Source organism: Homo sapiens, chromosome 5 (assembly GCF_000001405.40).
Source record: "Homo sapiens chromosome 5, GRCh38.p14 Primary Assembly".
NCBI classification, from domain to species: Eukaryota; Metazoa; Chordata; class Mammalia; order Primates; family Hominidae; genus Homo; species Homo sapiens.
The window spans coordinates 68,489,004-68,504,567 of NC_000005.10; the positions used below are offsets into that span (position 1 = coordinate 68,489,004).

General features: G+C 40.7%; 2 long non-coding RNA genes across 4 annotated transcripts in view; one reads left to right on the plus strand and one right to left on the minus strand.

The window, feature by feature from the left end:
- Positions 1-15,564, minus strand: part of LOC105379013 (uncharacterized) — a 406,546-nt gene that overhangs the window by 62,692 nt on the left and 328,290 nt on the right. The window lies entirely within an intron of this gene.
- Positions 1-15,564, plus strand: part of LOC105379012 (uncharacterized) — a 29,314-nt gene that overhangs the window by 5,567 nt on the left and 8,183 nt on the right. The window contains exon 2 of the long non-coding RNA XR_948411.3: positions 2,579-2,682. This is a non-coding gene — a long non-coding RNA (uncharacterized LOC105379012). The remainder of the gene's footprint in view (positions 1-2,578; positions 2,683-15,564) is intronic.

The window sequence follows — 15,564 nt, forward strand, 5'->3', positions numbered from 1 at the left end:
TAAAATATCCTCCACTGAGTTTATGGACAGCAAACTGTTGTGTGCTAACCATACGCGAGGCACTATGTGCTTCTCAGGCTTTTTCTCATTTAATTCTCACAGTGCTCAATGAGTTCTTCACTTATGAGGACACCAAGTCTTAGAGAGGTTATAGATCTTGCTGAAAATCATATAACTAATCAGAAATGGAGCCAGGATTTGAGCCCACGTGTTCAACTTGACCTTGAAAGAGTCAAGACAACTTGTAAGAGTACTGACATGTGTCACAGTGTTGTAGAAAAGACAGAGGGGCATGGACAAGAAAATCCATGTCATGTTCAAGACTGTGTACCACAAATCTCATTATACCCTGTTTTCCCATGCTTTTCACTACAATTTTCATGCCCCATGAAACACAAATCAAAGTACTGCTCACTGGAAGAGTGTTCCACAAAGAAGAACCAGCTGAAAGTTTGGCAGGAGGAGATAGAAGGAGGAAGGCATGGAATGTTTACAAAATATCAATTTCTAGGAAAAAAACCTGCTTAGTGAGTTCATTAATTTTTCACCTACACCACTTTGAAGAGAATTTTAATGAGCCATTATTGGAAATTTGTAAGGGGCCTATATTTTGGGTGCTATATTTTTATTGGTTTCCTTTTTATAAAGAGGCAAGACCAAAGTACACAGTGTTCAGATGACTTGCTTAAAATGGGAGGCATCTGAGTCACAGAAGTAAAGTTAAATTCTCTAAGCTTCCGGTCCCATAATATCTTTCCTTAAATACACTTTTTCCTCCAGCTTCACTTTTTCAATATCACAGGATGATTCTGTAGGAAGAAGAAAATCCATCTGACCTGCCTACACTCTAGTGAAGCAACCTCCTTGAAACCCATTTCTTTTCATACTCCAGAGAAATTATGTTTGAAACAACAGAGGTGGTAGAACTTTGCAAAAAGTGAAAATCCATTGATCTTTTAAAGATCCAGAAAGCAATGTTTCTTAAAATACAGATCAATAGCATAAGACCATATTTTAATATTGTCATGTTTACCCACTCATACTATTTATACCTTAGTATGTGCTATTAGGAGTGAAGAAAAGCAAATAGTCAAACTTGTCTAAAGAGAAATGACAATAGATTCCGGAATAGCAGTAAAAACAATTAAGATTAGTAGCTGATACAAATGAAAACATCTTAGGTTACTTAAGAAGGGTTCTTTTATATAATCAAAGGTAGTAAGAAGAGATGGAATTAAGACTCCAAACAGAAACAAATTAGGGGAAGCATGAAAAAAATGGAGCAAGAATAGTTTTGAATACATAAAGAGGAGGAAGACATAGGAGTTCAACATGCCTGTTGAGAGAGAACTCAAGTAAATTTTCATAAAAGTGGGAGAAATGGCTTGAGAAATGAAATTACTTTTTTGTCTAGGTGTGTGATGCAGGATCAGTGGGGATGGATGCCAGATACAGGCATATTTCCCAAGGGAGGAAGAAATAGAAAACAAAGTGGGTTTCCTGCCGGAACAGGTGGTGTGTTGACATGTACACATCTGACAGCCGGGCTTTTGAAGCTTTCCAAGGGTCTGACCAGGCCAGTCTGAGTTGTCTGTAAGACTTCAGGGAAAAGCAACACAGGGGAGTCTCAGTGATGTGGTTTCAAATGTCTTTGGACACATGAGACATAGCAGTTGTGGGTAAGGAAAGTAATGGGGCATCCTGCTATTGAGCACAAGGCTGAAAGCTGGGTTAGACTCAGTCACAGCTCATGATTTGATATTCTCAGCCATCCATTATAAGAAAGGAGCCAAATGTCTGTTTAAATCTAGGTGCAGGCAGATATTAACTCACTAAACTCCCCTTGACCTTCTTAAATACTGGAAAAGCTTTATCAGGACTTTCTCTTTCTTCTTCTTTTCTTTTTGGGGGGCGGTAGTGGTAGTTAGTAAGTAGGAGGGTGGGCCTGAAATTAGGAATGAATACAGAAGGTGGGAGTGGAAGGCTAATGTGCAATGTTTCTGCAAAGTTTAGAATCTTGTTTTGTTTGAATAACAGGCTTTCCTATGCTCTGTGATTGGGACTCTGTAAGTGACATACTTAAGCAATCACAAAAATGACAGTTTGGGGCTAGATTTGGGATGAAACTATCAAACCAAATAGTGATGACTGGCGAATAATGTTTTTGACCCTGAATTATAGTTGAGGAGCAGTAGTCATGGTATAAGCATAGGCTAAGGATAAGATTGCTTGCTGTTTGAATCCCTATCCTGCTTCTTGATTGGGTGATACTGGATATCAAACTGTGTGATCTTGTGTAGTGGTCCCTTAATTTCCTCCATTATAAGGCATGGATAATAGTAGTACCTATCTGTGGCAGAAACATTGTTTGTGCCTACTCTCCTGGTTCTTTTCTTTCCTGGAACAATGGAAAATCATGTTTCCCATTCTTTCTCTGCATCTATGTGGGACCATGTGACTAGCTCTGCCCACTGGGATGTGGGCAGACATGGCTAGCTACATCAGTACTAATTTGACCCCTAAAACTTTCCACAAGATTTTCCATGCCTTTTCTCTCTTCTCATTGTCTGCTGGCCAGTTGTAGAAGATCCAGGAGAGGAAGATTTAGGACTCTGAAGCTGTTGCTGCCTCCCTGAAACATGGCGTGAACATTTGTCTTCCAATCATCAGATTTACTGTGATGTAAGCAAGAAATAAATCTTTTCTTGTGGGAAGGCATTAAGATTTGGGGGACATTTGTTATAGAAGTCAGCCTACTCTAATACTATTTCAAAGTATTAGTCACTCTTGACTAAAAACTATATATTGGGGTTGTAGTGAAGATTAAATGAGTTACTGTATATAAAGAGTACTATTATAGAACGGTATCTGGCATATAGTAAGCTCTTGATAAATGTTATCTTGCATATTATAAGTGTAGAATTGGTTGGTTGGGTCAATCCAAGAACCCCACTTGGTCCATTAACTTGAAGAAATGCTATTTGCATCTTCTTAGCAAATTTGAATATAGACTGGGCCACCCATCCCTCATAGTTACTACTGGGTTCTATGATGAGCTTCATTTAATCACTTTGGGTCAGATTAAGCATGGCACTATGTTCGAATGGTTGGAAATCTGTGAGGACTTCTAAGTATCAGACATTCTACTATTCATAGGTGCCTTTTCATAGGGGCCTAAGATTCAGATGGACAATAGGTCTTTTAGGTTCTGTTCAGTAATTTTACAGAAGTCATCACATAAACTGAATACTTATGCTGAAGGGCTCTGAGAAGGCTTAAAAATGCTATATGCAAAGGGCTTAGCACCAAACCTAGCCCAGTTTTAAACTCATGCTAGGAATGTAATAAATAGTAGTTATAACAATAATAATAAATACATAAACCACCACCACCACCATCATCATCACCATCATTTGAATACCTCTTTTCTTCTGAGAACTTCAAGACTGTATCTATATCATACTTTCTACCTCTGGCATGCCATTTTATATTCTGACACTGTTATGGCCTTGCTTATTACATAATACCATCTTTTTAAATATTTTATCTACCTCTTGCCTACTTTGACCAGAGGCCATTACTTGTTCTTATATTTGCTTGACCTAATGAGGCTAACTTGTCCTTGCCCTCTTTAAAACAACCTTTATGTATTTGCAAACTCCACACTGGTGTGTTATTGGATATCATGCATTAGATATGCAATATTACCCATTGAGATCTCAGTGATAATTAGTCAGGGGAAGGTGATTTTTTTTGAAAGAAATGTTAGTTTCAACTCTGAAATTCCCTTTTCTTTAGTAGGTGCAGGTCGATAGGTAAAGGCCTTAATGTTTCTTTAATGTATAGATGAGCAAATCTAACTACTTTTAGGTTTGGCAAACTTTATCTGGCTATTTTCAAGAATTATATGGCTGGCAACTCCTCAGATGTATTCTGCCAAATGCTTTCTCTCCTTAACCTGTGTGTGTGTGTATATTTCAAAGGGAATTTAAGCCACAAATTTATTTATTAATTTTATTACAATTAGATTTATTATTTATTATTACTTAGCTGATTTATTAATACTTAGCTGATCAAATATGTGGTATTTGTCTTAGTCAACACTTACAGGTTCCAAATTCTGTTTCTCTGACCCAGGAAACCCTGAGAGGTTGGCAGCAGCCACCCCCTAAAGAACAAACCAAACTGGTTGTCTGAGCCTGGGAAGAAGCTAGCCCACATCTTTCCTTTAGATAGGGTTTTAAATGATATTTTGTCCCTTGGAATTCTCAGAGGTGAGGAAAAAGATATGTTTCCAAATGTCTGTTAGTTGATATCAACCTAAAATGGAAGCAGCCCCAGGTATTCTAAATGGAAGAGGTTTGGGAGCAGCAATGTAATTGAAGAGTGTCGATGTGTCTTGTCCTGGAGCCCAGTTTACATAACTCTTTACATAAGATGGAGAAAACATCTACTGTCCATATCGAGGAATGAGTAGAGGTAATGGAGTGGGGAACTGGGAAGGAGTGGACTATGGCAGTCATGGAGAATCTTGGCTGCCACTACTTCACTGCTTTTGACCTAACAATATCACACTTTGGATCTAATATCTTGAGGACTGAAGTCTCCAGAATCAACAGGAACCACTCAAATACTGGGTAGGCAAAGAGTGACAATTAAAGACAAACCTTTGCTAAAAGGTGTAAATCAAAAACAAAATTCTAAGCCCCCCAGCCAACTGAATAGACCCCTTCTGTCAGCCAAGGGCATTCTAAAGTAAACCCGAAACACGAATTTGGGCCATGATGGGAATGGGTGGTAGGACATGCCTCATTACAGCTTTCTCCCCTTGGAATTCAGACACATCTGACCAGCATTAACATTAAAACAGAGACCTTAGAACTAACAGAATAGACTCTGTAAGACTGATTAAAAAAAAAACATTTGTAATCTATTCTCTCTGAAACAGCCACCTGGAGGCTTCATCTGCATAATAAGAACTTTGGTCTCCACAACCCCTTATCTTAACCCAGACACTCCATTATATTGATTCCAGGTCTTTAGATAAATTATTTTAACCAATTGCCAATCAGAAAACCTTTGAATCCACCTGTGACCCAGAAGTCCCCCACCCCACCCTTTGAGTTGTCCCACCTTTCCAGATCAAACTAATGCATTTCTTACATGTATTGATTGATGTCTTATGTCTCCCTAAAGTGTGTAAAACCAAGCTGTAGTCCAACCACCTTGGGCACATGTTGTCAGGACCTCCTGAGGCTGTCCTTGGGCTTGTCCTTAACCTTGGGAAAATAAACTTCTAAATTGATTGAGACTTGTCTCAGATGCTTTTTGGTTTACGAGAGATATTGACTTCATGCCATACTCATGGACTAGTTAAATGCCCAGGTTTTTTTTGTGATTCATTTTTTCTTTTTTGGTAATTTTTATAATATTGGATTTCTTCTGAAAGATGACAGAGCACTTTGTGTGTGTGTATATAGGACATCCACTCTGCAAATATTCCAGGGGCAGGCTTGTCTCCTAGAAAGGTAGGTTGGAAAATTCAGTAGATTTATTTTGACTATTTGCTAGAGAATGGCATGATCTTACCTGAAAAAGATAGGAAGCAGTCTTGGGACTGTTGTCAAAACTAACAATGGTGCAGTTATTTGTGAGTTTAAAAGCCAGTTTTCAACTAGTGTTTTAAAAGATGCACCTCCCTCTCTACCTCCAGAAGATACCCATGGAGAGCAAAGTAAATGTATAAAAGAAAAATGTTTGAGACCTGCTTATGGGGCTGAGGGCAGCTTCTAGGTCTGAGGGTGGCCTTTGGCTGAGAGTTGGCAAGTAACTGGAGCCTTCAGTCCTACAACTGCAAGGAGATGAAGTTCGCCAACAAATTGAGTGATCTCAGAAGCAGATTCTTCCCTAGTTAAGCCTTGAGACACTGACTGCAACCTTGTGAGACCCTGAGCTGGGGACTCAGCTAAGTGGTACAGGGATTTGTGACTCACAGAAGCTGTGAGGTAATAAGTGTGTATTATTTTAAGCTGCTACACTAGTGGGAGTTTGTTATGCAGCAATAGAAAACTAATACACCATGTAGCTATCAAAATTGTTTCTGCTACTTATGAGTTTCATATTGATGTATGAAAAGAAAGCTGAGTTATAGTCAACTGATATTATTAAACAGTACAATAAGCCATAATTTTACTAGTGCCAAGTTACTACCAGCATAAAATGAGAAACATTAAATTGGGGCTTGCCTTTCCCCTCTTTCAGCATAGTTAGAAAAAACATCTGTCCCTCAGGCATTTGGATGCTGCATCAAGGGACATGTTTTGTTAGAACAAATAGAACCCAATACACTGCACCTTTCCCTACCCTAGAAGTCACTATCAGAATTGTCTTAAGGCCCCCATCCAACTGTATGAAATAATTAGGGCAGCCTATATGCCTTTGCATTTGCACCGACAATTGACTATGATTTGCAATTGGGTACATGCAGTTTTCAAAATCTCATGCTCATAATGAAATACACACTTCTTACTGTGACTTACAAGGCCTACAGAATCCAACACACCCTTTTGTCTCTGGACCCCTCACTGGCCTCCTTGTCAAGTATGTTTGCCCTACCTGACACACAGACTGAGATCTTATGCCTACTTCCAGGGCTTCTGCCTGGAATGTTCTGCAGAATTCTCATGGCTGACTCCTCTGATTTCAGTCTCACACATTCCCTCCCTCAGCAAGGCCTTCTCCAACTTCCCTGAAGTCCCCTTTCCTCCCGGTCACTCTCTTCCACATTAACTTATGTTTCCTTCCAGACCCTTATAGTATCTGAAATGACTTGGTTGTACATTTATTTATGTGAGAAATCAATGTCCCTCTCACTAGAATATAAGCAACATGACAGCAAGGACTGTCTGGCATCTGTGGCAAACTAAACAAGATTACCACTTAGGAGATGCTCAATAAGTATGATGTAAATAAAATGTGATTAGAACAACAAGACTGCCATAAGACTTGACTTATTTTTCTTCTTTGCCCCTTGCACACCCTCTCACAGGTTCAAAATCCACAGCAGTTTTGCCACTAACTCAGCCAGCATTTTTTTGTATATCTGCACTCCCAGCACCATGGAGGGTAGTTTAAGGAAGACAGAAGTTGTAGAAGACATAGTTCTTCCCTTAAAGACTACATAAATTAACTGGGTCGGAAGATGCCGCTGCATAAATTGATCAAAATCTAACTACAAGGCATTTACTACACCAGTATCTGGGCCAAACTAAATATGAAATTGCTTAGGGAATGAAGGCAGGGAGTGATTAGAAAATTTCGTATAGGAGCTGATTCTTGAAACAGGTGCGTCAATGGGAGATGTGTCATGAGTATTCAAAGCAAGGTAAAATAAGATAAGAAAAAGCTATGAAACTCTTAGAGTTTATGTATCCATCTCCCAGAGCAAAGTATTTCTAATCCAAAGTTTGTGCTTTAGAATCACTTAATTGAAAGACCAACTCTGGCCTCTATTTAACTTTTGTTAACTTTTGTTAACTTTTACTTTTGTGTTCAGTCTCAAATCAGAATCTCTAAGGGGTGGGCTTGGAACTGGCATATTTTCCAAGATCCCCAGTGAGTCTGATGTGCATCCAGGTTGAGATCCTCTGCACATAGCCTGAAATGGCATCACAGGGTTAAACAAAGGAGAAATGCCTCATAACAATAAGGTGACACACGGTGAAACACAGTGGTTAAGGCTCTAGCCTAGGTTTAAATCTAGACTCTGCAAGTTACCTGCTAGGTGACCTTGGGCAAGTGATTCAATCTCTCTGAGTGATATGGTTTGGCTCTGTGTCTCCACCCAGATCTGATCTTGTAGCTCCCATAATTCCTATGTGCTATGAGACAGACCCAGTGGGAGATGATTGAATCATGGGGGTAGGTCTTTCCTGTGCTGTTCTCATAATAGTGAATGGGTCTTATGAGATCTGATGGTTTTAAAAACAGGCGTTTTCCTGCACAAGTTCTCTTTGCCTGCTGCCATCCATGTAAGATGTGACTTGCTCCTCCTTACCTTCTGCCATGATTGTGAGGACTCCCCAGCCATGCAAAACTGTAAGTCCAATAAACCTCTTTCTTTTGTAAATTGCCCAGTCTCTGGTATGTCTTTATCAGCAGCATGAAAACAGACTAATTCAGTAAATTGGTACCAGTAGAGTGGGGCGCTGCTGATAAGATAACCAAAAATGTGGAAGCAACTTTGGAACTGGGTAACAGGCAAAGGTTGGAACAGTTTGGAGGGCTCAAAAGAAGACAAGAAAATGTGGGAAAGTTTGGAACTTCCTAGAGACTTGTTGAATGGCTTTGACGAAAATGTTGATAATGATATGGACAATATGGTCCAGGCTGAGGTGGTCTCAGTTGGAGATGAGGAACTTGTTGGGAACTGGAGCAAAGATGGCTCTTGTTATGTTTTAGCAAAGAGACTGGTGACATTTTCCCCCTGTCCTAGAGACTTGTGGAACTTTCAACTTGAGAGAGATGATTTAGGGTATCAGGCAGAAGAAATTTCTAAGCAGCAAAGCATTCAAGAGGTGACTGGGGTGCTGTTAAAGGTATTCAGTTTTATAAGGGAAACAGAGCATAAAATCTCAGAAAATTTCCAGCCTGATAATGCAATAGAAAAGAAAATCCCGTTTTCTGAGGAGAAATTCAAGCAGCCTGCAGGAATTTGCAAAAGTAACGAAGAGCCAAAAGTTAATCCCCAAGACAATGGAGAAAATGTCTCCAAGTCATGTCAGAGGTCTTCATGGCAGCCCCCCTGCCCAATACAGGCCTGGAGGCCTAGGAGGAAAAAGTGGTTTCATGGGCCAGGCCCAGGATCTCTGTGCTATGTGCAACCTAGGGACTTGGTGCCCTGCTTCCCAGCCACTCTAGCTGTGGCTAAAAGGGGCCACTGTAGAGCTTGGGCCATGGCTTCAGAGGGTGCAAGACCCAAGCCTTGACAGCTTCCACATGGTGTTGAGCCTGAGAGTACACAAAAGTCAAGGATTGGGGTTTGGGAACCTCCGCCTAGATTTGAGAAGATGTATGGAAATGTCTGGATGTCCAGGCAGAAGTTTGCTGCAGGGGCGGGACCCTCATGGAGAACCTCTGCTAGGGCAGTGCAGAAGGGAAATGTGGGGTCAGAACCCCCACATAGAATCCCTACTGGGGCACCACCTAGTGGATCCGTGAGGACAGGGCCACCATCTTCCAGATCCCAGAATGGGAGATCCACTGACAGCTTGCACCATGTGCCTGGAAAAGCCACAGACACTCAATGCCAGCCTGTGAAGGCAGCCAGGAGGGAGACTGTACCCTGCAAAGCCACAGAGGCAGAGCTACCCAAGACCATGGGAACCCAACTCTTGCATCAGTGTGATCTGGATTTGAGACATGGAGTCAAAGGAGATCATTTTGGACCATTAAGATTTTACTGCCCTGCTGGATTTTGGACTTGCATCAGGCCTGTAGCCCTTTGTTTTGGCCAATTTCTCCCATTTGGAATGGCTGTATTTACCCAAGGCCTGTACCCACATTGTATCTAGGAAGTAACTAACTTGCTTTTAACTTTACAGGCTCATAGAAAGAAGGGACTTGCCTTGTCTCTGATGAGACTTTGGACTGTGGACTTTTGAGTTAATGCTGGAATAAATTGAGACTTTTGGGGACTGTTGGGAAGGCATGATTGGTTTTGAAATGTGAAGATATGAGATTTGGGAGGGGACAGAGCGGAATGATATGGTTTGGCTCTGTGTTCCCACCTAAATCTGATCTTATAGCTCCCATAATTCCCATGTGTTGTGGGACGGACATGGTGGGAGATGATTGAATCATGGGGGTGGGTCTTTCCCATGCTGTTCTTGAGATAGTGAATGGGTCTCATGAGATCTGATGGTTTTAAAAACAGGAGTTTCCCTGCACAAGCTCTCTTTTTGCCTGCTGCCATCCACGTAAGATGTGACTTGCTCCTCCTTGCCTTCTGCCATGATTGTGAGGCCTATCCAGCCATGTGGAACTGTAAGTCCAATAAACCTCTTTCTTTTGTAAATTGCCCAGTCTCAGGTATGTCTTTATCAGCAGTGTGAAAACGGACTAATACACTGAGCCTCTGTTTACACATCTTTAGGCTAGCAATAATAAATGTAGTTACTGCCTAAGAACAATGGAGAATTAAATAAGGCACAAAAAGCACTTGTTACAATGTGTGGCACATAGTCAAAGCCCTAGTTTTTTTTCATTATCATTATCTTTCTACGTTAAAAAATTTCTAATCTTTATAAAGGCACTGGAAATTCCAATGTACATTTCTAAAGTTTTTGCATCCATCAGCTTCACAAATTATCATAACTTTGAAGCACAGCCTTAGCCAAGCACATTGATGAATTCAAGCACCTTTAAGAAGGGCCCCAAAGAAACAAGGCTGAGGCTGAGATTAGTCAATATGGGAGCAAATGAGCATTTTAATAGAAATTAAAATCATATACAAAAGCAGAAAATGGGCCAGGTGCAGTGACTCATGCCTGTAATCCCAGCACTTAGGAAGGCTGAGGCAGGCAAATTTCTTCAGTACAGGAGTTCAAGACGAGACTGGCCAACACGGCAAAACCCCATCTCCACTAAAAATACAAAAATTAGCCAGGCATGGTGGTGCACACCTGTAATCCCAGCTACTGCTCCTGAGGCAGGAGAATGGCTTGAACCCAGGAGGTGTGGAGGTGCAGGTTGCAGTGAGCCAAGATCGTGCCACTGCATTCCAGCCTGGGCAACAGAGTGAGACTCCATCTCAAAAAAAAAAAAAAAAAAAGCAGAAAATTCATCTGTAAAAACTGACAACATTAAAAGAACAACAACAATACAAAGAAATTAAAATAATGACTGATGAGTTCAGCAGCCTTGCCTGACAAGGCAACAAGCGAGGAGCTTGCAACTTCAGAACAACCCTTTCTGTAAAACTTTACAGAGCATTTAAATAAAACATAGTGAAGCTTTTTTCACATCATTTGGATTAACAGTACCATCTTTCTCCCTCATTAATGTGGACCCAGCCCTAGAATAAACTGAAAATCATCAACTGAATCATTCTACCTCACCCTGATCACTTTACTCCATAGTTTTCTAATATACGTCCTGCCAAATATTTTTAGGACAAGTCATTTAAAAGTTTTCTAAATGTCTCAAAAATTAGCAATGTGCCAAGAATGAGACCAATTAGGTCATTTATGCTTATCAGAAAAGCAGTTTATTCCTTTGCATAAGTACAGAGAATTCACTGTGCAATTTTAACTTTGCTGTATTAGGATTTTTAAGATGCACGCCTTGTATATTGCTAAACGCGTGGAAAATAAAGTCTGGAAGAATATCCTCCAATCTTTCGACAGTGGTTGTCTCTGGAGTAAAATTAAGGATGACTTTGTATTTCTGCATTGTTCTCTTTACTGCCATTTGAAATTTGTATAATAAGCATTTATTATTTTCCTACTACTAAAAGATAAGTTTTTAGATGAAATAAAATGCATGTTTTACAAAAAGACTAGCCCTTTTGAAAGTACCAAAACGCTTCAACTTAGTAAAAAAAGGGCTGTCACTGAATATGAATTTTAAATATTTAGTGGGGTGGAAAAAACCTTCTGCAGTGGAAAGAGATGATGAGCAAGGCTCCTGGTTAGAAAAGGATAGACTTTTTGGCTCCCACTGGGTGGTTTTGAGCATCTCAACTCACCTTTCAAAGGCTAACCAACCAGGTGATAGCAAATACTACACTGCGCATGTTTGTGGAGAACAGAGTCCAGACCTCCAAGGCTGGCCTAGAAACATTCTCCCTAGCAAAGACTTAAGTCTCCGTTTCACAAACTGAATCAGTGCTTTTCATGATTCCAAAGGACTCCCGTTCGACTTTTTTTTCCCCTTTCGTCATTCAACTTGGAAACATTCCTTTTTGTGGATTTTCATGAACTCCAGCCCAACACCAGGTGCAAATTGAAAAAATCCCACTGGCCAAATTTAGCATAGGGAGGCCTACTGTTCTTTCAACAGAGCCTTTCTTTCAGGCCAGGAGTTCAGATCTTAGCCCCTGGGCACACAAGTCAGGGGTTTTGCTTTCATCCACAACCATCACTCATGAAAAACTCCTTCTCGACGGTGCCTGCCTCTCCAGACCCCCCAGCCTAGAGGCTCAGATGCATGTGCCTGTGTGAATCTGGGGATTTGTAGGAGAGGAAAGCCAGAGAGATTCCTCATTGATCTTGACCTATAAATATTCAACTGTCCCCAGATCAGACATGTAATTTTCCACACACTGCAGTTTCTGTGTGGTCGCCATTATCATTTAGCAAATACAGTTGGCCCTCCATATCTGTGTGTTCTGTATTCATGGATTCAACCAACGGCAAATAGAAAATATTTGGGGAGGTAATCCCAGCACTTTGGGAGGCTGAGGCAGGCAGATCAACTGAGGTCAGGAGTTCAAAACCAGCCTGACCAACATGGTGAACCCCTGTCTCTACTAAAAATACAAAAATTAGCCAGGCTTGGTGGCACACACCTGTAGTCTCATCTACTTGGGAGGCTGAGGCACAAGAATCGCTTGAACCCAGGAGGCAGAAGTTGAAGTGAGCTGTGGTCATGCCACTGCACTCCAGCCTGGGCAACAGAGTGTGAGGCTCCATTTCAAAAATAAAATAAGAAAATATATGGGGAAAAAAATTGCATCTGTACTTAACATGTACAGACATATTTTGGTCATTATTCCCTAAATAATACAGTAGAACAACTATTTACATAGCATTTACCTTGTATTAGGTGTTATATGTAATCTAGGGATGATTTAAAGTACATAGGAGGATGTGGTTAGGTTACATGCAAATACTATGCTATTGTACACCAGGGACTTTGAGCATCTGTGGATTTTGGTATCTGCTGGAGTTCTGGAACCAATCTCCCATGGATACTGGGGGATGACTGTACTTTACATTGAGTTGCTCTCCTTGATTTGCAATTAAGAGGCTGTTACATGGCATTCCCCAACTTGGGGCATTCCGCCAATGTCCAAAGAAGAACATGGTGCCTTCAGAAATTCTGGCTGGTTCAAACAGGAATTCAATTCTGGTGTCAAGTCAGTGCTCCACAGAGCTTGTGGCTCAAGCAATAATCTGATTATATTCCATTTTACAAGCATTTATTGAGCATCTAATTTGTGATTTGGTTTGCCATAGATAATTAATCTAAATGCCTGCTATTTAATTGAACTGCTGCCTTCTTATCCTGTGGTGGGATTGCACTACCAGGATTGGTTCTCTACATTTGCTGCTATATTTGTCTTATAAAGGTTTCATCCTCTGCTAATAAGTGTGAAGGACACCCAGCTACTGAAGTTCTAATGTTACAGTTTTCCTGATCTGAATTGATTAGATTTGTCTCTATGGACTTTGTGAATGGCATTCGAACACCCCATCTGAGGTGCAGTTATGGGGGCTTGAAATAATGTTTTCTGGTGTTATCATTGGGCTTGGTCTACCCATTTGACAGCTCACAGAAGCAGTGCAGAGAGCATCTTGGAAGAAAGACACAAAACTATCAGACTATAAACATTACAAAATGTTCTTGATCTACTCTCCAAACTAGGTGTATCAGTCAGTCTTATAGGACATGGATGGTCCACTCATACTGAGCAATTCATGAAACAAATTAGTGACTATTCAGAAAGGCATGGCCAGGGTTTCAGGAAACAAGGGCAGTGAAGTAAGGGCTAGCAGCAACTGAGAACTGCTGCTACCACCAGAGGCCCAAAAAAACATGGAGGGGAGGGTATACCAGAACAAAAGCAGGCAGCTACAGAGGGCTGCCTAAAAGAAATTGTAGCTCCTGGTATAAAGATCTAGACAAACCAAAGCAACTAGAAAGGAAGGGAGACAGCCAGGAAATAAATACCATAACTCTCTCCTTCTCCTTTATGAACTCCTGCTGGTATTTCACATTAGCCGAACCCCACTGGGAGCTGGAGAACAAGAGAGCCAAAAGTCCATATGGACCAGCTCCTGGGGCACAGAGGAGGACGTAGAAGGGTGAAGAATGAACCTGCAGAGACAAACAAAGACACCTGGCATATCGAGTTTTTGTAAGGGAAGTGAGGACACAACAAAGCGTGCAATAAATGTATTCTTTCTGGAAGCTAAACACAAATGTATAATTAGAGATTTGATGCTTGAGCTGATTCTAGCACAGGTAAAAGTCTGATATAGATGGAAGGGGAAGACATTGTGGGCTGAAAAAGGCTATAGGGAAAAGAGCTTTAGAAAACAGCTATGTGGCCAGAGCCAGGGGCGTAAATAGCAGCGGCAAGAGAGCAGCCTGTAGAGACAGAGGGGTTGGGCTGTGAAATCCCCATATGCCAGGTGAAGGCATGCAAGCGTCTGATGGACGTAGCTTCAGATCCACATTTTACAGAAAGTCTATCAGCTCCCTAGAGACAGGATTAATGATGATATGGAGCTTCAAACCCCTTTCCAGAAACAGGTAGGACAAAGAAACTAGGTAATCAACATAAATAAAATAATTCTTCTTGACCATGATAGTCCCAAAGCCTTTGGTTTTGGTCACATCTGAGAAGGAGTCAGTACAATCATCTCCCTTTATAACCTAGACAGTGATTATGCTTAATTATCTTCACAAGATCGTCTTCCTCTATGTTCTTTGTATCCTTTCACAGAATCTATGGACATTCTTTGGCTGCATCTGGAACATACTGAACATATTGCATAGGAGCGCCAAGTTCATTTTTGTCTTAAACTTCTAAGGAGCCTTCCTTGGCATGAGAAGACTGACTCTTCTGCTGAACTCCTACACCACTTTAAATAGCTGCCACATTACTTCACATGCAATTATGTACACATTGTAATTTTCTCTGAGTTTGTTGTTAATTTTGATTAATTAGATTTCAACCTCCTTGAATGCACCATGCCTAATCCTGCGGTGTGCTCCTCACCACCACCTCCAGTGCTAAACATGCTCTGAACACAGACAGTATTTGTTTCTTCAATAGCAGGTAGTCACTCTCTACCCAGGAACCAATTTGTGCTTTGGAAGGAGAATTTCCTTACAACTCACTGGAGTGTCTTTCTATAAAATAGCCTATGCCTTTAAGCATCCATGGTTCATACTTTCTGAGCCCACAACAAGTATTTATTCAATCAGAAAAAAAGTATATTGAGCACTTACAGTACACAAGAGCTAGCAGATAGTTAAATAAATATGATTATTTGGAACGTAAAAGAAGAAATTTTGAGCTAATGCATTAGTCACTAAAAATGGACTACTGTGTTACCCTTTGCAGATCATATTTACCATTTTGCAGAGTCCTACAAAGCCTATTCAAAGATTAAATACTGTAGGAGTGTTAAACACTATAGCAGGACTCACAAGGGAAGTATTTTTGGTTAGGGAAGTCCTTTAGCATTTGTCATCTTATACCAATGACAGCATGTCAGAAGCCTGGATTTGGGAGCACAAGCTCCTACTCTTCTTTCAAAGCCTTGCAGAACT